At 40.2% G+C, this 25048-nt stretch overlaps 1 protein-coding gene across 2 annotated transcripts in view; it reads right to left on the bottom strand.

Annotated features, from left to right (window-relative positions):
• ZCCHC2 (zinc finger CCHC-type containing 2) overlaps nucleotides 1–25048 on the bottom strand; it is a 63705-nt gene that overhangs the window by 28547 nt on the left and 10110 nt on the right. For both annotated transcript variants that reach the window (NR_126534.2, NM_017742.6), the window contains exons 2-6: nucleotides 18391–18502; nucleotides 15609–15685; nucleotides 13310–13381; nucleotides 7723–7835; nucleotides 1886–1980 (exon numbers count right to left, since the gene is read on the bottom strand). Coding sequence is in view for 1 of the 2 variants with exons in the window: in NM_017742.6 (NP_060212.4) it covers nucleotides 1886–1980; nucleotides 7723–7835; nucleotides 13310–13381; nucleotides 15609–15685; nucleotides 18391–18502 (469 nt within the window). In the remaining variant the exon portion in view is untranslated. The remainder of the gene's footprint in view (nucleotides 1–1885; nucleotides 1981–7722; nucleotides 7836–13309; nucleotides 13382–15608; nucleotides 15686–18390; nucleotides 18503–25048) is intronic.

The following is a 25048-nucleotide window of genomic DNA, read 5'->3' as shown; positions in this document are numbered from 1 at the left end:
TACTTCCCCATTAAAATACAGGCCAGCAGGACTCCACAGTTCAACATCTTAACTCATTCAGGACTTTAGCATTATTTTTTTTCAGCGCTAGTTTTCAGGATATGGAGTGATGCTCTCTGTACCAGAGAATAAAAAGATAAAGCTATCAATTAAAAAAAAAAAACCCAACAGTGTATGCAAATGAACCCTGACAACAGTATATTCACTAGTGAAACAACTCAGATATGTAAGAACGTTAGGCTGACAAGATTTCCCACAATCTCAAGTTCTGTACTTTCATACAGTGTTTTAATTTTACAACCTAAAAACAAAATCCACCAACCTCTTTAGCACTGCTCATGTAATTTAAATACTGCCACACCCTCAAGATGAGTTTATTACTTATATATGAACTCCTCACTTGGGTGAGTTTTCCTGAGCAGCCTGTTCATCTGAACTAAAAGTTTAACTTTGTGCTCAATTCAATGCCTTTTTGAAACTAAACTGATGCTATTGATACATGTTCAATAAAAAACACATTTGGCGCAGGGGGAAAGCACTGATGGTTAAATCTACATAGCTACAGAATGATCAGGATTCTCTTTAATAAATGCTGTTGTTATCATTCAGACATAAATTTAATCATGAAGTTGTACATTTTGTCTTGGTCAACTAATCACAAAGAGTCATATTTTTAATTCGGATTGATAATTACGTTAGCATTAACACACTTAATTAGAGAAACTTTAAAGGTTAGCCCGTGTAACAATCATACTATTCTTGCACCTCTTTTTCTCACACCTCAAATTGAGGAAATATGTGTTTTTCTTTCCCCTTTAAATACAGGAAAAAATGACTCTCTTGAGAGCAGAGGGACAGTTTTAAAAAAGAAAAATGTTCCTTGCCATAGCTATGCCTGAAGTTCAGCAGAAATTCTGCTAAAGGACACGCCAATGTTACTGACAAAATATTTGTAAAAGGCAGGCTGAGGTAGATGTGTAGAAAATTAAACACAAGGCAGACAGTGGTGAAAGGTGAAATAAGAGGGCAAAACTCAACATACGGAACATAAGAAAAACTGGCAAAGCTTCGTGGAAGAGGTGATGTTTCAGCTGGGCCTTAAAACAGGTGTGATTTTAATGGGCTATGACAAAAGGATGTATGTTTAAGTAAGGGTACAAATGAGCAAAGACACAGGGCAGGCAACAGCTGGGCATGCTAGGAGACAGAGCACAGGGAGCAGAAGGAAGCTCCCGGAAGGTCACAGTGAGGCCTGAATTTCAGACCAAGCAGGAATTTAACACATTTATCCTTGTGATAATCCAGGGATAGATCAGAGTGGGAAACTAGAATCTGAGAAAAGAGTGAGGGTTTACCTTTAATAGTCCGTGCATGAAAGAAAGGCCTAACTGTAAACAAAGGGATGGTGACGAAGGGACATAAAGGAAGACATCCTTTGTCTAGTATGGGTTGTCCTTTCCGTGATGAAAACAAAGAGGCAGAGTGAGAAGAACAGGGCTAACATTTTCTGTCTGATCGGCTGGAAAGGTCAATTGGGAACAGGTGACAGGAGGAAGACAGACTAGATCATACACCAGCACGTGGCACTGTAAGGTCTCCAGCCTGTGAGGGAACAGTTCCTGCCCAGGAAATGAAGGACTGGCCATGCCCCAAAGACTAGAGAGACTCAGGCCTTACCTTGGAATCAGTCTGCTCTGTTATATTAGCTTTTATTCATGACCTTCTTTAAAACTGCAGTGTAAAAACTCATTAAAAATGACATTAAAAATGTATGTCACTATTCCTTAACTTTAACTAAAGTGACAAACCTACACAAAATGACACAGTAAAGCAATAAAATCCAACAAAGAAAAAAGATTTCCACAGAGGGACAGAGGATGCTTACTGATACTGTGTAGGGAGTCTGATGATATGGACTGAAAGAAGCTGTGTACTTTCTGACTTTGTAGAAAAGCTTGTGATGAACTTGAAAATAGCTGCCTGCACATAAAAAGAAAAGAGATTTGTTAATTTCAGGTAATGTTAATCCACAAGAAGCTCAGTTTCAATTATAAAGCAGAATGAAGTGGCAGTTTAATTCAGGTATGGAAAAATATTTTTCCTATAGAAAAGAATATTATTTTCTAATGTATTTCCTATGGGAAGAAGTCAGTAACATTTAACAAAATTCATTTGCAAGAATCGACTAAATAGGTTCATTTTTAATTTTGTATAATCTAATGGTAAGTTTTCAATACTGGCCCAAAAATGTATTATTTCAGCCTTTGCCCAAGTGGTCCAATAGCCACCCTTCTGTTCAGAAAAACAACTGCAATTTCTTTACTCTTCTCCACAGGTGTTCTTCTCCTTATTTGGCTGTACTTTTTTTTTTTTTGAGACTGAATTTTGCTCTTATTGCCCAGGATGGAGTGCAATGGCGCGATCTCAGCTCACTGCAACCTCCGCCTCCCAGGTTCAAGCTATTCTCCTGTCTCAGCATCCCGAGTAGCTGGGATTACAGGCATGTGCCACCACGCCTGGCTAATTTTGTATTTTTAGTAGAGACGGGGTTTCACCATGTCGGTCAGGCTAGTCTCGAACTCCTGACCTCTGGTGATCTGCCCACCTCGGCCTCTCAAAGTGCTGGGATTACAGGCGTGAGCCACTGAGCCTGGCCTTTGGCTGTAGTATTAACGGGCATTCCCACACTCTCAAAGTGGGAGGTTGGGAAGTTTGGGATGCTAAGAGTCCTGAAAAATATGGAACAGTCAATTATGTAGTTATCATATATCATACATATATTCTACAACCTAAGGCATGACTAACTGATGACTCATGTTGAATGTGTATCATGCCATGAGTCAAAGTTATCTTTGAAACCCAGCTTTCCTCATATTTTATTAATGTAATTAAAAGACTCCAGCTGGAGGTCTTCCCGACAGTGGTACCTGTAAAAGGGCTCTTGGGCAAAGAATTAGAGCAGAATCTACCAGGAAGTTTACTTTGGATTTGAATACCAGTTCAGTCGCTTATAAGATGAAGCACCCTAAACAAGCCAGTTAGCCTTTCAACTTCCAATTTCTCATGGTTACAAGAATCAAATAGTGCACACAGATAAACAGTCACCCTACCTACTACTTAGGTGCTCAACATACAAATCCCATTCTATTAGTTTTGAACACTTTTAATGCGCATTTTAAATTTCAATTAATTTCTCCCCCAAGGTTTTTGACCTATTATTCAGATTAATTATAAAATCATTAATATACCAACAGATGACCTTTATGGGCCAAAGTTGCCTTGTATATCATGCAAAATTGCTTCTTGGTCTTCTAATGTGAAAGTAAACATTCAACAGGAAGACATGGGTGAAATTAAGAGATGAAAGAACTGAGATCTGAATTCAGGAGCAAATCTAGATTTCCAGGTCTGAACATATTACCTAAGGCTGACATTAAAATCCAAAGGCAGTGGTGGAACCCACACCCAGTCATGTTAGAAACCAACTGGTCAAAAGCACAGGCACACCTTCAATTCAAGGCCTGAGTCCCAGGCAACAGCCCAGATATAACTCCAAATACTATGTATACATCCACTACAGGAACACTGAGTATTACATTTAAACCACAAATGAGATAAAGGCGGGGACTGAAATCAGCATGCAAACTAAAGTCAAGGCTCATTAATGAATAACCACAGATGGCAATTATACCGATATTAAAAAATCAAAGTGGCCATAAACTATTTGATAAATCAAATGAGTGAGAAAAACAAGGTCACATTCTGACATGACAGAAATCATCCAACCCCAAATGCACATTTCAGGCCGTATTTTCATTTTCCTAACCTACAGCATATTTGAGACTAAATGCAGTGTGTCCTGTACCAACCAAGATCTGTATCACTAATAAGTACTTCCTATTTCTCAGTTTCCTTTCTTCCGCCTCCTTTATAACTGCTACACTTCTGAGACACAAATGATGACCTACTAATTTAAAACCCACAAACTGAGAAGGAAGTGTCCTGACATCCTATTAATGGTGTTGAGGCCACAGGCCAGCCATTTGGGAAAATATACGAATTCCCGCCATACTCCCTACATCAAAATAAATTACAAATGAATCCAAGATTTTTTTAAAAAGGAAGTATCAGAAGAAAACATATTTTTTGAAACATATTTCAGATACATTTTCAAACATATCTTTGAAAAGGTCTTTCTAGGCATGACACAAAACCCTGAAACCAGAAGAGAAAAGATCAATAAATCTGAGTATATAAAAATTTAAAACACCTCTATGGTCATGAAGTAATCGCAAGCAGGGCTCTTTATCTAACAAGTAACTCTTCCAATCAGTGACACCAATAAAGTGTGGAAAGGACTGAAAAGGCCATTCACAGGGAGGCGGCAAAGCCTACTCAAACACAAACTGAAATCGGACTGTCTTTCCGAGATGGGCAAAGAAGAGCAATTGAGAATGTTTTGAGTCTGCTCAGGTGGGAGATACAAGTATGAGGCCTCAGAAGACATAAAGTGCTGCTACCTTTTTAGAAATAGTTTGAAAATATTACATATTAAAAATACATGTAACTTTTGACCAATTACATTATTTCCATAAATTGATCTTACAGATAAATGTATCCATATGTGTTAAGAATATATACCTGGAGAGGATTGCTTGAGCCTAGGAGTTTGAGATAAGCCTGGGCAACAGAGCGAGGTCCTGTCTCAAAAAAAAAATTAATAAAAATAAAAAGTAAAAAATTAAATAATCATATACCTGGACATTGTAGTAGTTTAAAAACATTTAGAAACAACTAAAATGGACGTAAAATATGTTGATTAATTATGGTTCAGCTAAAAAGGTATATTATGTAGCAAATAAAGTAGCCATCTTTTTACATGTACTGATGTGTTACCATGTCCCAATATATTTAAAGAAAAAAGTGGCAGAAAAGTATTAATATGTATAAAATACTTCCATTTGGATAGTAAAGGAAATACACACACACACACACACACACACACACACACACACACACACACACATAAATCTAAGGGCATGTATGTGCACAGAAAATTTTGGAAAAGTTAGGCTACTTTAGCTGTCAGATTTGGAGAATGGGAAACCGGGGAATTTTCTCAGTACACACCTCTGCATTCTTCAAAATTAGCTTTAATAACATCTTTACAGTAAAAACACCTAAAATACACACAGACACAGACATGCACAAGAGGCCAAGTATGATCAAAGCTGAGGAGAATCCTAAAAGCTTTAACAAGGAGTCACCCACATACTTTTTTTTTTTTTTTTAAGAGACAGGGTCTTACTCTGTTGCCCAGGCTGGAGTTCAGAGGTGCAATCATAGCTCACTGCGGCCTCAAGCTCCTGGGCTGAAGCGATCTTCCCACCTCAGCCTCTGGAGTAGCTGGGACTACAGGTGTGCACCACCACACCCAGCTAATTAAAAAATTTTTTTTGTAGAGATGGGGTTTCACTATGTTGCCCAGGCTGTTGGCCTCAAATGATCCTCCTGTCTTGGCCTCGCAAAGGGCTGTGACTACAGGCATGACCCACCATGCCCAGCCACTTACTTTTTAATTGGGGTCCTAGCTGAGAGCCATTTTTTGAAAATGGCTCCTTCCAGAAATAGTTAATTTTTTCCTTCTGAAAATCTCAAACTTACAAATACAGTACAAATACTTTTTTCCTAAACCATAAATACCTAGTGTAATGGCTAACTCCTGGGAAGACATCAGTGAGTATTTCCTATGTTCTCCTACAATCAATATCAGGAGATTAACACTGACCAATTTTTACCTTCTATTCCTCAGATCCCATTTAAGTTTTGCCAATTGACCCCAAAATGTCCTTTTCATATCAAAGACACCTGTTGTCATGGCAACTGGCATCTGTGGGGTGGTGGGAGAGGAGCAAGTCTTCATCTTCTGATCCTTCCAGACCAAGCTGGTGCCCGCCCAGAAGCCCCTTTCCTCCCCAGCTCAGAACTCTGAGCAGCTCATCCACAGCTTGGGGGGCTCCTGCCCTGAGGCCGTGTCTTTAGGGAAAGGCAGCTGGGTAACCGTGCACAAACTGTCACACCCCGGATCTTGTCATACATGAAAATACTCTCCCCCTCCCAGATTTCTGCTTGTCTCCACTGGGGAGCAAACACTCATCCCCTTCTTTTCAGCCCCACCCATCCTGAGAATACTCACTGGTCCCAATTCCCTACTCAGGAGGGGGGCCGTAACAGTCAATGACACACACCTCTGCTCTACCTCAGGAAATCGGCTTTCCAAACTGGGCCACCTCAAGTTTAGAAGGCAGATGATAGGCTGTCTTACTTAAGCCCTGACCCTAAGCCATAGAGGCTCCAGCACTGCTTTTATGTAATGTATTTATTAATAACTGCAAGTTTCCAGTAAAACAGCATGTTTCCTTGGCCATGATTCCTGAATTTATGTCCCTCCTACAGGGAAGCCCTCAGAGAGGTGAGTGCCACGACTGCCAAAACCAAACGCTGACCTCCACCGTCACCTCCAGATCCACTCACTCAGATGCCTCCGCTCTCACCCTAATGAGACTCTCGCTGCTTAATTACCCGATTACTCCCATGGCACCTGTCTTCCAAGCACAGTTCATTCTACTCTATCAGACTCACCTATTTTCACTTCCTAGTCCAGCTTAGTTCTCCTAACTGTCCATCATTTGTTAAAAACTGAACATTTTTTCCCCAAATTCCCTTGCCTCATTGTCTTTCTGTCACATCCAAGAAAGCCCCATCCAGGACAAATACAACTACCTGCTTTCCTGACACTTGGACCTGAGCTGCCGGGAAACATTTAAAAAATAATTCACACAACAGGACAGACCAATACCACGATAATTTATTGATCTTCAATCTCAAATGGACTCCACACCTTGCCCAGCTCACTTGATTTCCTTCATCAGGTTGTTCTCCAGCTCTCCACATAATGATTTTACATCCCCTCTACTCTCAAGCATGTGATCCCACACCCTCAATCTACCCATTCTTAAGAAAAACTCTTAGGGAAAATATAAGCTATTAATTGGGCAAAAATTCCCTCAACTTCCCATCACGAAACAAGTACATTTCCCTACATCCACACTCATCCCGCCTCCACAGGGTCCTTGTGCCGCCAATGACGCGCCTTGCCTGTGTCTTCAATTTCTTCCTCTGTGAGCACATGGGAGGCTCCGGGAATTAATCCAAGATCATCTCATCTAAGCGCATCTTTCCCAACAAGCCCAACAACCTTACGAGGGCAAAACCTTGACCTCTGGCAGCACCATGGCTCCAAGAGAGTAACAGCCACGAAGAGCAGGTGCTGGAAAGCAGGGCTGCCCTTCACTCTCCCACCCACCAGCCCAGGCACTTGACAACTTTAAACAAATAAAACATCTCTCCAAAGTAGAGCTCTTGGACAAAGGCCTCTTTCAATAAGTATTTTATAAAGAATATAAGAGCCTTTATTCAATATCTGCATATTTCAGAAGCAACTAAATTTTATGATATCAGAGAACTGAAGAGTACAATGATGAAACTAGTTTGGTATCTTTTACTATGAGCCTAGACCTAAATAGCACAAGGATAACATGTCCATTTTAAGAAGTACGCCAGAGAAAGGATCTCTATGATTCCCCCACCTGAAGACCCCATTTGGAGCGGCCCTTTGTCCTGTGTGTATGCTGCTATGATAGGCGTCAGGTAAATCATTACCTTAGGATGGGCTCTAGGTCAGGATGTCGCCGTTCCTCCCTTTTCAAGGAACCCTGATTCAGGGCTCTTAAGATGGTCTTGTCAAAAGTCTCTGAAGACAGTTCCTTTGGAAGCTAGAAAAGAAAAACCACAATATCCAATGTTAAGTTTCTCACTTACTGGTAAAGATGTTACAAGTTATATGCATAAAATGAAGATTAATGCCTCCTGCTCATTATTTTCCCAAAAGCAGTTTGTTTTCCAAATCTTCACAACATCTGACCCCATAATGAAGCAGCACAGACCTTTCCTACTGGGAAATGCACCATCTTCTGACTGAACCTCAGGGCTCCCCCAGGTGCAGGGCGACCCACAGCATTCAGCATGTTCCTGGGACAGGAGGATGCCTGCATGGACCTTACACTCTGGCTCCACATACCACACTGAAATGACACCCATGCTAAGGTTCTCGAGTTAAGGTGAAGATTCTGCTCAGCATAGCTAGTACTATTTTTACCCTGGAATAGTATTCCAAGGAGTGTTATCTCTGCCTTTGCACTTAGCACTTTTGTGCCTCCTGTTTTACGTTTTACTCTCAGGCAATGTCAGATCACCAGTGCTATGAAGCAAATAAAGAACTGAATATGAGAGACGGGTGAGAAACCCTCAATATTACTTATTTATATAAAAACCACACGCCAGAGGTGCCTCATGTGATTGAGGTGCCCTCAGAGCAATGTGCTAGAAACCACAAAAAAATCAACACTTGGCCAATAAAACTTTTAGGTTTTAAACAAAATTTAACCAGTTTACTTTAAAAAAATTCCTAAATTGATTATTCATAAGCCAACTTTCCAAGTCTTTGAAAAATTCAGTTTTAAATTTGACTTTTGATAACTAATCTGTCCTATTACTGGCACTTTCACTAAAATTCAGAGTAGAACCATTAACAATATCTGAGAAGCCACAGGAATACAAAAATCTATACAAATTGTTGATTTACATATTGAGCTTTGAGAAGTCCGAAGTAAATTTTCTTCTGAAAAGTAAGTATTTTGAGTCAATTCAGAAATGAGAAACTTAGCAAAGGTAGCATAAAGCATTCCTCATTGTGGGTACAGTAGATTGCAAGATCAAGATGCTCTGTCAGAATGAAGTCCCTTCTGGTCAGATAGAAGACTCTGTCGGCATTCTACACACCCGCTGTGGGAATCATGCCCTCTGACCACCAGGTCTGAATCTACCCTTCTTTTTTTTTTTTTTGAGACGGAGTCTCGCTCTGTTGCCCAGGCTGGAGCGCAGTGGCGCGATCTCGGCTCACTGCAAGCTCCACCTCCCGGGTTCACACCATTCTCCTGCCTCAGCCTCCCGAGTAGCTGGGACTACACGCACCCGCCCCCTCCCCCAGCTAATTTTTTGTATTTTTAGTAGAGACAGGGTTTCACCGTGTTAGTCAGGATGGTCTCAATCTCCTGACCTCGTGATCCACCCGCCCTGACCCCCCAAATTGCTGGGATTACAGGCGTGAGCCACCACGCCTGGCCTACCCATTTTCTTTTCTAAGAGTTTTGCTCTGTCACCGAGGCTGGAGTGCAGTGGCATGATCTCGGCTCACTGCAACCTCTGCCTTCTGGGTTCAAGGGATTCTCCTGCCTTGGCCTCCTGAGTACCTGGGATTACAGACGTGTACCACCACCCCTGGCTAATTTTTTTTGTATTTTCAGTAGAGAATGGGGTTTCCATGTTGGTTAGGTTGGTCTCGAACTCCTGACCTCAGATGATCCACAGGCCGTGGCTTCCCAAAGTGCTGGGATTACAGGCGTGAGCCACTGCACCCAGCCTCCATTTTCCAAACAAAGAAATCCCTCATTTCAATATTTATATTTTGATATTAGCATTTTAATACAGACTGATAACACCAGGCATATATCCTACTACCCATTTTAAACACAATTTATACTGAATATCTGTACACAGCCAAAGAAAACCAGTGTCAGTGAAAAGTCTATTTCAACTACCAAATCACTGATGGTTGAACTAAACACTGAAGGCAACAGCGTATAACTATTGACAGTTCAGTGACACTGTTCACGTTGCTGGGCAGACTGCAGGTAAGCAGTCATCAGTATGAGCAAACTGATTTATTTTCAAGTGGTTTTTATCTTTAATTTCCTGGGCATATTTGCAGTCCTAAAGAAAGACTCATTTGCTAAAAAAAATATATATATATATACAGTTTTAAATCATGTCTTTTATATTCTAGTCACGTGTTTTGAATTTTCTCACCTTTCAATCCTAGTTCTAGCATACCCAGCCTCCCACCTCCAGAGCTCCAGCTCAGCCTCAGAACTAGTTCAGAGGAATGAAAGGTTTTTGTACCTAGCTATTACAAAAGTTGCTCTCTAAATACACTGAGACCAACGGATAATCTAATGCTTGTAGCACCCCTTGTTCATTAAATCATTCAGCAAACTTTCAAACTCCTACTGTGCCCCAGGCACTGTTTTAGGAACCCTGGATACTGCAGTGAGGGAAGAAACAAAAACCCTGGCTGCACAGAGTAGACATTCTGATCATGAGAAATGACAGCTGTAATTGCTAAGAAGAAAAAAACAGGGGACCAGACATGGTGGCCCACACCATGTCTGTAATCCCAGCACATTTGGCCAAGGTGGGTGGATTGTTTGATCTCAGGAGTTCAAGATCAGCCTGGGCAACATGGCAAAACTCCATCTCTACTGAAAATACAAAAATTAGCCGGGTGTGGTGGTGCATGCCTGTAATCCCAGCTACTTGGAAGGCTGAGGCATGAGAACAGCTTGAACTGGGGAGGCAGAGGTTGCTGTGAACCTCTCAAGATGGTGTCACTACACTTACACTCCAGCCTGGGATATGGAGCAAGACTGTCTCAAAAGAAAAGAAAAAAAAAAAACAAACAAACCCACAAAAACAGGTGAAGGGGGCCAGAATGCAAAGGACACAGGCTGCTATTTGTATGGGAAAAAAGGACTTGAAATATTGACCTCCAACTCATATTTCCACACTACAGCAAGCTAGAAGTACAGGTCAATGGGGTCTACAGAAGAAAAAGGGTGTTCGTTTGGACACATCGTCCAAAGGACAGATTTTGCTCCTGAACTTTTTTTTTTTTTTTTTAAGATGGAGTTTTGCTCTTGTCGCTCAGGCTGGAGTGCAATGGCATGATCTTGGCTCACTGCAACCTCCACCTTTGGGGTTCAAGTGATTCTCTGCCTCAGCCTCCAGAGTAGCTGTGATTACAGGCGCCCGCCACCATGCCTGGCTAATTTTTTGTATTTTTAGTAGACATGGGGTTTCACCATGTTGGTCAGGCTGGTCTTGAACTGCTGACCTCAGATGATCCACCTGCCTCAGCCTCCTAAAGCGCTGGGATTACAGGCATGAGCCACCGAACCTGGCAGCTCCTGAACTTTTGTAGATGATGTTAAAAAGAAGGTAAAAGAAAAAAAGGATAAGGTAAACTTGGAAAAGTATCATACAATAGGCAGTATGTTTCCAGAAGTACACGTTGCAGATTATTTCATGTAACTGAGAGGCATTTATACTACTTGAGAAAAACATTATATCCAAATACTGGCTAAGCAGGGTGTTCATCAATTGCTATGATTCTGAAGAGTGAATTACTTATTTGGAGTTGTATTTGTTTTAAAGCAGCTAAGCTTTTCGAAAAAATGGGCGACTGAAGAAATCTGTCAAGGCACAAACAGCTGAAGCTTCCAGAGGGAAAGCCAGTAGAAGGCAGACTCCATGCGCCAGGCACTAGGCCTCAGCTGGGGGTCAGCTGCATGCTCTCTCAGCATGAGGGACAGGGAAGCAGGACCCCACACGCACACTGGCACCAAGTCACTTGGTCTGAACCCCCCTTTTCAAGGCTTTTCAGCCTCAGCTCTGTACTCCTGCAACTCGCCCACAATTCTGTTGTGGGAAGAACAGCAGAAGGGAAATGAAAACAGGCTACTCCTTAACCCAAATGAAGCCTGTTCGTGATCACTTGTCTAAATTTTGATAAATTTCTTCTATTGAGAGAAAAGAAAGAAATAATTAGAAGGGCTTGTAAAAGTGTGTGGCGGTGGGGTGAGGCAGCCCTGCTTAGCCTCCTCTGTAATTAGAACGTCATTCAGGCACTCATTTTCTCCAATGGGGTGCACTGCCTGGCAGATGGAGCCTGCCCCGGTCTAGGCCACTCTTCTCTGGCACCCTCACGACTGTTACCATGACTGAGCACAGCAGACAGAAGCTCACAGACCTATGCCATCTCTCTCCCCAAGGTGTCCAGAGCTGACATGTCACAGGCAGTGGCCTCTAGCATCTGGAAATGAGTAAAACTCATCCCCTAATCTTACCCAAGGCAGGTCACTAATGAGTGGGAGGAGAAGTCCTCAGCCCTTAACTGACAGAGCCTAATTTATAATAAACCACAGGAAGATGGAACTATTCAAGTCATCCCTGGGTGCTACTTCATTCACAGGGACTAATAAGAAATCCAGTGGAATTCACACTTTGACAGTCTTCCTCAAAGAACCAGCATCTAATGTGCTATTCAAAGCTCTACAAGTTGATGAATAAAAGTCTCTCATAGATTTAAGAATGATCTGAAAAGAACACACTTATGGTGACAAGCAGACAACCTAAAACTAGCACTAGCCTCATAATATCGTATGTTATATGTTTAATAACTACACTTGTAACCAAAACTTAGTAAGTCAGTTGGGAATGTTTTGTTTCTGGACTTTCTGCTTTATCTCTCTACTAACAATAAATTTTAAAATATTTGCTTACTGAGAAAGAATAATTTATCAACCATTTATACCTATTCTCTCCTTTTGATATGTATTTCTAACTATTCACTTTTCGATAAAATCAGATTAGTATAAAAGAAACAGGTGATGGTTTGAACAAAATGATCTAAGATACCTTTCACCTCTGGCAAGTCTGTAATAAGATGTTTCTATTATCTTCTTATTCCCAGTAGTTTGGAGATTCTATCATATGGGGGGTGAGGTGGGGAGGAGCTGGAACTCAAAGAAGGAAGAAATGGAGAACTATTTCAGGGAAGTGCACAGCTGAATAGTTGTGAAGTCTGAGAACTCCCACCAAGCAGAAGCAAGCCTCATCTGGTTCTGCAGACACATTCTCTACTAAGAAGTCCCTTTGCAAGCAGCCACCAATGACGCACATCTCTGCAGGAAACTAGGAACAGGGTTCCTTTTTTTTTTTCAAATAGAGATAGGTTCTCACTAAGTTGCCCAGTCTGGTCTTGGAAATCCTGCCTCACATGATCCTCCCGCCTTGGCCTCCCAAAGTGCTGGGATCACAGGTGCACACCACCGCACCCGGTCTCCATTTTTTTTAAATGTAGAAATCCCTTCGTCATTTCCTTATGTTGGTAATGTCAGGTAAGAAAACATTTTTAGAATAACATGACGTTTTCCACAGCTAATGTTCATTTAGAGTTCTGAGCCAACCTTTATCTGTATGTTTTAATTTTCCTGGTGTTTTTTTGACGTTGAGGTTTCTGGATTCTGTATATTATATAAAAATCATTTTAACAACAAAATCTATATTTTACCTTCAGTAGAAATTCCTGTAGTTCTTGGTGGGTTTTTGTTACTGTTGTGACTGAAAGATCAGACCAATTTACCTGATTTAAAAAAAACACACATATTATATGGTTATTCCCTAGGCAGGAACCGGCTAGAAAAAAGCCATGTGCAAAAACAAAGGGCCTTACTTAAATTTTACTAAGATTAACAGTTAGAAATATAAAGTTAATCTGGCATTGTCATAATTTCAAAATTAGTAAAATTAACTGCACATTGACATACGCTACTCAAAAACGTTCTAATAACTCTTTTCAAAATGGCACTTTTTAAAACCTATCTGAAAATGTGATTATGTTTAGTAATTTTTCAGAAAGGGGATATATGTTATTTTCTATGAACTTATAGAACTCTAAAATGACACTTTTGACAGTACAAATCTTTGCCACTCAAAAGATAAAAATTCTATCTCCTGAAACTTACTAGGTATACACCCTTAAGGGAAATAACTAGAGTTTACTGCCTTCTTTGGTAGTACCATTTCATATTTTTATGGAATTTATGGTTCGAAGAGATTTCATCTTTATCTCAATCTTTAAAATCCTATTAAGATGCTAGGGCCAGGTATGATGACTTCCATTTTGAGATGGAGAAACTTAAGTTCAAACAAGTTAGGTTACTGAGGTGTGTGACTCTAAGTAGGTTGCAAGAGTCAGAACTGACATCTCTTGTGCTACCCCATACCCACTACCTCCTCGATGCTTTTCATGTGGACTCAACTGTGGCCCCCTAAAAATTTCTACCCTATAATTATTTGAGCTAAATAAATATTTGCACTATGCTACTGTCTAGGCCTTACCAACTTATAAGTAATCAGATAGTTAAAAAATACATAAAATTTTATCTACAAGTCTAAAATTGGTATCTTTATTAACTGGCACATTTATTTACTTTACTGGCACATTACATTTCTTAAGTGATAGTATTCAAATGTTTGTGGAGCAGCTACTTGTGTTGGGCACTGTTCTGACTCTTGTGTCAGGGATGCAGAAATGGACAAGACAGTTAAGTCTCCGCTGACTGAGTTCACAGGCTAGTGCAGGAGATAGATCAAAGCCAAGTGAATATATAAGAATTTCCATCAGTGATCAGTGCTTTGAAGAAAACGCATAGGGCATGGTACAAGAACGGAGAGATGCACATGAACTGGGGTGTCAAGAAGGATCTCGGAGGAGGGAGCTTTAGAGCCAGAAGGTGGCCTGTCCTCGGTCTGGGGAAATGGGGGAAGAGCATTTCAGGCAAGAGGACAGTGAAGCCTTTAGGAAGGCAAGCTGTGAGCTCCAGCAGCAAAAGAGGCCAGCCTGACTGAGCGTGGAGAGTAAAGAGCGAGACGCATGCCGCAGTAAGACACCAGGAGATGAGGGCTGAAATTCTGCAAACTGAGGATCTTTCTCCCTTAAAGCAAAGCTGGAGTTTGGAAATTCATTCAACGAGCAAGTGGTGGGATGGCTGAGGATGAAGAATGAAGATTCCTGCTCTCCATGAGAATATCTACTGGAAAGATCTGTGAAAGGTACGAGGGCAGAGTATCATGGATGAAGGAGAAAACATTCTAGTGGAGGGTCAGAAATAACTCCATGAGAGAGGGACAGCCAAAATTTGGCAAGCAATGCCTTTGGAGAGGAACTGAAGTGAGGATTCACAAAAACGTGGCATGGTTCCACCTGGCTTCAGGGTGCGTGCCATCCAACCTGAGGAGAAAAGGCGTAGCTCAAGCAGGGAGAAGTAAGGAAGATGTGGACAAGGAATTCCCGATACAGCTGACGGGCAAGAAGAAGACATGCAAAGTCTTCACCTGGGAGCACAGAATCAGAGCTGGGCTCTACAGCTAATCCCAGCTGTGGAAAGGACGGGCACCAAAACCAATCATGGGTAAGAAGACAGGGCAATGCAGTGGCAATAAAAGCGTCACAGAGAACAAAGAGGAGGAGGAAAATACCAGGGAGAACAATGCCAGGAAAGACAATGCCTGTGATCTTGACTTAAAACACAATGGCATTTTTAAAGATGTATCTTACATCTTAATTGCGTCCCTAAATCTAAGGCTCTTACTTCTTTTTAATAAAATAGCCAGGGTTATTTTAATGTGATGTAACTTCAAAAAAACTTGGCAAACCATGCAGTAGTATATGATAAAAAACAGTACATTCTCTTAATTAAAAACAAACATATATACCTTTTCCCTTAAATTAGCAAACCTGCCACAAGTTTTCCCAAAGATCATTGAGCACAGCACGTGAGGTATCTTTTGTGGGGAAAATGGCTTACTTTGAAAGTGTACTCCCAGTATTTGTCAGCTCTTTTTCTCTGGACTCCTTTCAACATTATCTTCTCAATGTGTACAGCTGAAAGAAAAAAAACACACGGTGACTTGTGCTACAAAGACTATAGACACATTTCACTTACCTAAAGTAACCCTAAAAGTTGACAAGTGCTTAACAATTAAGCTACTCACTTTCATCTTTATGACTGGTCTTAAATCATGAAATAAAAAAAAAGAAGACAAAAAAACTAGAAGCATAGCAATGTGCCATCCACCCATGAAAAAAATTTTTTTCTATACCCATACGACATGCTGAGTGTTTAAGTAAATTCAAACACTCTATTAACACCAAAGATTTTAAGGATAAAAATAAAAGGTACCTGCAATTAAAATATTTTTCCAAATGATAATCTTCCAACTTGTTATTCAGATTACCACAAATACGGCATTTTAATATCAACTAAATATGGTTCTTTCAATTATTAATACATAGTAGGTATAAACTACAAAATATCTAGTTTTACATTTAATTTTTTTAAAAAACTACTCAAAAGTAATATACCAAGCTGAGGAATTTAAAAATTATTTGTCTCAAATGTAACCCTCAATATCATATAATGATAAATATAAACTGAACATTATAATAAACGTTCATTGTGGCAAAATTTTTTTACATTACAGAGATAAAATAGTAAACATAAATTATATTAAACTTTAAAACACTCTGAATTGAACTAGATAATCAGTTTATTCATGAAGTAAGCAAATGTATAAATCCCCCAACTATCCATTTTACGACACCTTTAATAAAAGTACCACCTTAGGAAATAAATCAATTTCAAAAGAGCCAATCTACAAAGCGTACTCTACTCTAAGGACTTAAAGACACTGCTGTTCAGGGTATGAACAGAAGAAACCACACTTTCAGGATAATGAGGGAGGTAATATCAGGCTGATAATGAATATGCTAAAGGTTACAGAGAAGAGGTTAGGAAAGTAACTCAACAGAATGGGTGTGGGGGGTACACTGTTGGATTCAGGAGAGCAGGAGATGGAGGAAAAAAGGGGCATTCATTCATTTTGCCTTAGAGGAAGAAGTTAAAATAGACAAAGTGGAATACACAAAGTGACAAAAGCATAGAGGAGGAGTAAGACTGTTAAAAGACCACGGAAGGTGGGCAGTGAGAAGGCATGAAGCATAAGATACAGAAATACACAGGGGAAAAGACACTTATAATAAACAAAGGATATAACATTACCAGTATTTTGTGTCAACTTCCCAAATATATAGTGTTTGGTGGCCTGCTTGTGGGCCAGTTTCCCCTTTGCGGGCCAGAAATGTTGAGGATGGAAACAACGGAAAATCTCAAAAAGCCAGGCAAAAGCCTGTAACTCCTTAGAACTGTGCAATAGGATAAGAGCCAAAGTGGTGATGGGAGGGTATGCTGTTTCCAAAAGCTGTTATATTAAGTTAAAGGATGACGCCATTCAACAAAAATCTTCTGAACTAATCTTATATTCAGAAATAAAGCAGCTCTACTTCTGCAAATCATTGGTCCCCTCAAGGGTAGGGGATCTTGGGTTTTGTTTGGTCAGAACCCAGTTTTGCTTAGCAGAAAAAGCCACTATGACATTACAGGACATGGGAACACAGCTTCAGTGATAATTTCAAGTTCTGTCTGGTGTTGGCTACCAGAATCAAGGTAAGAGAAGACAGGAGTATGTGATGAGGAATGGCCATAGTGAAAGTACCCCCAACCCTCATAAATTAAAACTAAAAAGCATGTATTACACTTTTTAAGAAGTAGGAATACAAGAAAAATAATCTACAGTACCACCTTTACAGTTAATTGTCAGCATTTTGATATAATCTCTACGTTCTTCTAAAATATTTTTATTAAAAAAAAGGACCTTCATTGTAAAACCAACTCCACTTCAGGTTATTCGTATGTTCAATGAGTTTAGCTGAAGTAGTCTGATTAAAGTACTTTAGTTGGGAAGATAGGAGTACCGTGATCGTCTTGAATAGAAGTGGTCATTATATAAACACTTATGTTCAACATTAAAAATTCAGACCTATTTTTCCTCTGTGAGGAAAAATGTATTACACAAAAAGGATTATTACTGGTAAAAAAAAAAAAAAAGGAGACATAATGACATAAATTCAAAATTGTTATAACTGAGTGTGAAGCTTATCATATATCCTTGGCTCTTTTAAAGCCCAGATGGCAGTCTACATTTTCCATTTCAGTTTCTCTCCCAGCACAGGTTAATGGCTCCCCAAATGCAAAGAGGAAAGAATAATTTGAATTCATTCCTGTTCAGATGGCAATGTCCTTCCACCCATTCATTCCAGCCCTCTTAAAAACTGCATTATTGCAGGAAGAATGGATTTGTAAGTAACTTATTTACTCTTCCAGAGAACTTGTATAAAATTCATTTTCTCAGTAGACACTGAGCTCAATTCTGCAAATAAAGCACTATACTAAATACTCTGGGGGTCTCTGCCCCCCAGAAGCATGCAACCAGGTTTAAGATTCAGCCAAGACAATGGACTACAGAGCAGAATGACTGTGTGCGTGCTAGGACAAGCAGGGCTGTGGCGCAGGAAACACCCAGCGTGCAGATGGCAGAACTAGGAGGACTGGCTCTTGAGTGAAGCCTAGGACCAGTAGGACTTCTCCACTTCAAAAAGGAGAGTAAAAAGTTTAGAGTTAATCAGCGTAAAGAGCACCCTGTAATCTTTTGATGTATTAATGCTTTAAGTTTACAAAAAAGAGAGCATACCTTCTCGCTGAGCTCTGTGAGGTGCCACGGTAAGTCCGTCCTGAGGTATTGGAGCTTGCTCTATTAAGCTGCTCTCGTTATTTTGCATGTAATCACCATGAGCAGAGTTGTTCTAGATGAGAAAGAGGGAGATACGTTAACTTAAACCATGGACTAAGAGTAATAATCACAGATTTAGGTCTTCTCATTTTACTAACAACCATTTTAGTGGCAATTTTTAGAGGTCCAATAGGTGACTGCACACTATGGGCACAAAGGCACAGTGTGAGAGCCGCAAGCAGAAGATGAGCACTCTATTAATTATTGACTGTCCTAGCTTTCTTGGGACACAGGAAATTGCTTAATAATATACAGAGTTGCCAATGATGTCAATTCTGAATCCAAATCAAAGGAACACATAACAAATGGTGCCCTTTACACTAATCCTCCATAGGGAACGGCATGTGTACTTTTTACAAGAATCACTACACCATTTTTATTCATTGTTTGGTTTTAATAACAGTCTAAAAAGATGCTTTATTAGGAAAAAGTCTTATGAAAGGTATCATCAATACATGCCAAGGATTTCTAAACAAGAATATGTACAGGCAGGGAGTTTACCATTAAGGTTCAGTCATCTAACAGCAACTGGGTGCTCTAAACCTAACTGAGTTTGCTCAGCCAATCACTAGTGAACCGGGGTAACTTTGACTCCTAGATCCGATGCTTGGAGTAATAAAGGTGATGCCAAACTTACAAACAGCTCGCCAGAAATCAAGCACTGTCACATACAAACTGTTACAACATCATATTAAGTAAGTAAATAAATAGCCTTATGACAGTTTTTTATTACAGCTTGCACCTTATCCCCTCCCTTTATGTGCAGAATCTCAAAACACTACTCATATCAAAATCAACTTGGTTTTAAGAATCAATTATGATTTTACAAATCTGCAGTAAACATACATTAATATTTTTTTCTGTAAAAAATTAGGCAAATAGAAGACCCTAAGCTCCCCACAAATCTCAATTTAAAAATATTTTGTTCTGCTGTCTAATCACACATCCCGACCCGACAGTAAGTATGAATTGCTCTGTTTATGAGAACAGAGCACATTATATACTTTTGGGAGCTAAACTTCTGCCTTCTAGTCTGTCTTCCTTTATTTAGAAACCCAAGGAAACAAAGACTGTCTACCTAAAACCATTTAATAAGGAGAGTACAGACCTCTTCAGTCAACATCCAACTTCTGAAACACTTGGCCTGATAGCCTTTACCAATTTTCAATGCGACTGGTTTTTTAAAAATGCAGATATGAATTATTTTAATAACAAAACCATACATATCCTAACCCAGACCATATATTTTATTAAAAAATGTAAAACCACATTTACCCACGAGAGATTCTGCTTCTCAAAAATTTTAATATTGCTGTAAATACTTTAAAAAACAAAGAAAATAAAGTGCTATATAATCCTCTCAAATAGTTGTGTTAACTGGAAGAAGCTTGGGTGAATAGGTTAACCAATTCTTTCTTTTTTTTTTTTTTTTTGAGACAGGGTCTCTCTCTGTTGCCCAGACTGAAGTACACCGGCATGATCATAGCTCACTGCAGCCTCAAATTCCCGGCTTCAAGTGATCCTCTCAACTCGGCATCCCAAAGTGCTGGAATTACAGGTGTGAGTCATTGTACCTGGCCAGTCAACCATTGCTTAAAGCGAAATATTTCTCTACATTGCTCATATATAGTTCACAAATTTAAAGCAATACTTTCAAATGTAAACTAATGCAAAATATGAAAAAAATGTTTTCATTAGTGAGATGCATAAGAAGATACCACTTTATACCCATTAGGATGACTATTATTAAAAAAGACAGTGTTGGCAAGGACATGAAGAAAATGGAACCCTTACACATTGATGGTGGAAACAAAAATAGTATAGCTACTGTTGAAGACAGTCAGGCAGTTCCTCAAAATATTAAACACAGAATTATTTTATGACCCAGCAATTCCACTTCTAAGATACACCCAAAAGAACTGAAAGCAGAAATGCAAACATAATCTGTACATCAGTGTTCATAGCAGTTATTCACAATAGCCACAAGGTGTAAACTCAAAACCCATCAATGGATGAACAGATAAACAAAATATGGTGTACACATCCAATTACCTATGATTCAGCCTTAAAAAGGAATGCAATTCTGATACATAATAGGATTTAGATGAATCCCAAAGAGAGTATGCTAGGTGAAATAAGCCAGACACAAAAGAACAAATACAGCATGATTCCACTTATATGAGATACCTAGAATAGTCAAGTTGATAAAGAAAGTAGAATAGTGGCTAGGTGTGGTAGCTCACGCCTGCAATCCCAGCACTTTGGGAGGCCAAGGTGGGAGGATCACATAAGGCAAGTATTTCAAGACAGACTGGGCGACACTGCACGATCCTATCGCTACAAAAGAATTTTTTTTTTTTGTTAGCCAGAAGTGGTGGTATGTGCCTGTAGTCCTCGTTAGATGGGAGGACTGCTTGGGCCCAGGAGTTCAAGGCTGCAGTGACCCATGACTGCGCCACTGCACTTCAGCCTGGGCAACAGGGCAAGACCCTGTCTCTAAAGCAAACAAAAAAAGTAGAATAGTAGTTACCAGGTACTGGAGGGAATAGGGTGTTATTTTTTAAATGGGTATAGCATTTCTGTTTGGGATGATAGAATGTTTGGAGACAGAGGTGATGACTCATGACAACGGGAACGTACTTAATGCTACTGAACCGTACACTAAAAAGGAGAAAATGAGAATTTTATGCTATATATTTTATATCACAATAAAAACTAAAAATGGAAATGATCACACTGCCTCCACAAACATTAAATTGAAGCAACTGTATGAAAGTAGTTTGCTTCACAATCAAAATCACATTTTTGAAGTCTGAAGTTAACTTTATGAACCCAATTTAACCAAGTAACCTCCTGTTTAATAACCTAGGGAGAAAAATGAAGTTTGAGTTTCTATCCAAAGTCCTAAGTTCATCAACCCATGATATATCTACTAATTAAATGTTTATTTTCTCCTCCAAGTCTCAGCATGTATCAATGCTATAAAATCACGTAGACTATGTTTAGAAGCTATTACTAAACTCACTCATGTAACGCTGCATGAGCTGGAGATGAGAATCGGCAGCCCCAATGGTGGGTGGCTGCTCGGCGATGCTGTCTGCCCTGCACTCCCTCTTTACTTTCCTTAGGGGGATGGGTAGCATAAAATCTGAGAACTCCTTCTTTAATGGAATCATATAAAGAGGAATGGCACCCACTTTATCTGTTAAGTTCAGATTCCCATGAAAATGCAGAACAGATGAAATGCCAGAATCAGTATTTTACAAAGACTAGTTGGAGAAAAGTGTCAGGACCACGAGAAAAGTGGATTTTTCTCTGTTTGTATCAAGAAAGCAGGGTTTAAAGATTCTAAACCTGCAAAAATACGCACAAGCATACAAAGAACTTTAGTAGGAGTGCATTCTCCTTTCTTAACTCGCCTGAGGCAGAGCTTCTTCTGTCCTATCGCTTGCCTCAAGAGCTACTGGTTAGCACAAACCTACACGGCATGTGGTTCAGGTGGTCTAGATGGTTTTGCCACAGATCACACGTAGACCCATCACAATTACATACTTGAGATTTCTTAACTGTGGGGACCTTGTGAAACAGCCAAGTAGCTGGACATCCTAAAAAACTCTTCTCTGAAAACATACCATTAGAACAAAGGTCATAGATGGAGTTTTAGTTCGTCTAACAATATTCTACATGGTTCTTGTAGTCCCTCGATATAGACTATAAATTTAAAAATCCAAGATATTCCAAATATAATAACACAGCAGTAAGAGTTTTTTATTTTTTAAAACCAAAGTCACTAACTTCTTCTGAAGTTTTCCCAATTGTCAAATGAGACTTAGAAAATTAACAGCAATATATAACAACATTCTATTAAGCTTCCGTGGCGGATTAAAGGTAGCTAAAAATTATTTAATATTCCTCCCGCTGAAAAGTGGAACCAATTCCCCACCCAGTGGATCTAGGCTGGCTTTAGAATGTGCTGGTGGTGATGCTCTTCTAAAGTTAGGTCCTGGGAAGCCTCAGCCCTGGGCCTCCTGGACACTTGGGCTTGGAGTCCTGAGACACCACATGAGACATGCACTTCTCCTGGCAGCCGCACTTGATGGACCACGTGGAGAGAGGAGAGGGGTCTAGGGATGCCATCTGGGCCCCAGCTGTGTCCCAGACACCCTAGAACAGAGACAAACTCTTCACTATAGTTATTTGTCTAAATCCCTCACCCACAAAACTGTGAGAGATGGTAATAAAATGGTCATTGTTTTACACCACTAAGTTTGGGGGTAATTCTGTTCTTTAAATAGGCAGATTCATAGGTCTCCTCCTTCAGCACTGGCATCTGTGCTTCCTTTGCCAACATGCTCTCACTACAGAAGGAAAACATCTTTTAACCCTAGAACTAGGAAGATGATCCAGAAATTGCTATATCCCTGGGCCAGCAGCCCCCACATCTTTAAGTCCCCACATCAGGGTGTTCTGGGGTGAGGTGAAAAGAATGCATGCATGAGTGCACAAGGATCTAGAGAAGCGCACATCTCCTCCCCAGCCCACATCTGACTCTGCCTTCGCTGTCGCAGTCTCGCCCCACGAGAGATGAGGGAGGGAGGCCAAGGGGTCGTCAGGAAGGATGTGAGCCTGGGCTCAGAAGCTGGAAGGAGCTTCCATGCCTTCTAGCACCTGCAGCAGAGCCACTGCTTCACCCCCAGTGCAAAAACATTCTTGGAACCTTGTAGAAACATAAGCTTATAGAACCTAAGAAGGATCTACGGCAGTAACTGATTTACTATATAGTGTTGCCAACACTGCATTAGGACTTGTGTTTCACACCACTAGTTATTATAGAATGGGCAATTTTCCCAAACTAATAAAACTACTCAATACTCAATGCCACAACCTCTCTGTATGAGGGATGACCTCTTTTCAAGCAAATACTCCCAAACATTACAGCATTTGGTTCACATGTGACCATGCCGTCTCCCATTTAGGACCACCAGTGAATTTCAATCATTTGATACCCAAGACAAAAATCAACTGTACTACGGGACACATCCCAATTTAGACATTTCTAACAAGAAACATAAAAATTCCCCAACATTTATGTTATAGAGCGTTCACTTCAGTGACCAAAGTTTAATTATCTTTCCAATCACACAAGGCACTACCCCAATTCTACATCTGACTCACACCACCCCTCAAGTAGATCATAAACTGGAGATCAAACACTACAGGCTACCTACCATCAACTATCCAAGCAATAAGAAAATAGGTTAATATATGACTTTTCCATCCTATCAAAATGTCACTGCTAGGTCTGCACCAATTTATGCACCCACACACAAAAGCTCAATTAACACAGGGAGTACAAATAATCAGATTTTTTTTTTTTTTTTTAAGACAGGATCTCCCTCTGTCTCCCAGGCTGGATTGCACAGCAACGCAATCACGGCTCACTTCAGCCTTGACCTCTCTGCTCAAGCAATCTTCCCACCTCCGTCTCTTGAGTAGCTAGGACTACAGGCATGTACCACCATGCCAGGCTAATTTTTTTTAGAGATGGGGTCTTGGTATGTTGCCTAGGCTGCTAATAGTCTGATTTGGAAGGTATATTAAATAAGCACAGCCAGTCAGCATCCACCCATTGAAGATTCAATTCAAATCTACACTTGTTCCACGCTTTTTATATAAAGAAACAATTCCTCTTATTTCCAAAATAACTGTACCTATCCTATATAACTGCAAATTTTTTTATAAAGTAAATACTGGTAAGTACAATTCAAAATAAGACAAAATCACTGCCTGATATACTTAGTCTTTTTTTTTTTTTTTTTTTGAGGCAGAGTTTTGCTCTTGTTGCCCAGGCTGGAGTGCAATGTCACCATATCGGGTCACTGCAATCTCTGCCTCCCAGGTTCAAACGATTCTCCTGCCTTAGCCTTTGGAGTAACTGGAATTATAGGCATGCACCACCACGCCCAGCTAATTTTTGTATTTTTTTTAAATCAGAGACAGGGTTTCACTATGTTGGTCAGGCTGGTCTCGAACTCCTGGCCTCAGGTGATCCACCTGCCTTGGCCTCCCAAAGTGCTGGGTTTACAGGCTTGAGCCACTGTGCCCAGCCTCGATATACTTAATCTTAAAGCAGTGTATCATATTGGTATTTTTTCTTTTTTCTTTTTTTGAGACGAAGTCTGACTCTGTCACCCTGGTTGGAGTGCAGTGGCATGATCTCGGCTCACTGCAACCTCTGCCTCCCGGGTTCAAGTGATTCTGCTGCCTCAGCCTCAGGAGTAACTGGGATTACAGGCGCCCACTACACGCCCGACTAATTTTTGTATTTTTAGTAGAGACAGGGTTTCACTATGTTGGCCAGTCTGGTATCGAACTCCTGACCTCAAGTGATCCACCCGCCTCGGCCTCCCAAAGTGCTGGGATTACAGGCGTAAGCCACCACACCCAGCCTCGTATTTTTCAAAGCTATATATTTTCCAAGTCCAAACACAGGAAATTATGACTGAGCAATGATGATATATACAACACTGACAAAAAAATGAGGCACAATGCCCGAGCC

The sequence above is a fragment of the Homo sapiens genome, chromosome 18 (genome assembly GCF_000001405.40).
Source record: "Homo sapiens chromosome 18, GRCh38.p14 Primary Assembly".
NCBI classification, from domain to species: domain Eukaryota; kingdom Metazoa; phylum Chordata; class Mammalia; order Primates; family Hominidae; genus Homo; species Homo sapiens.
This window is presented reverse-complemented; position numbering and strand designations above follow the sequence as displayed.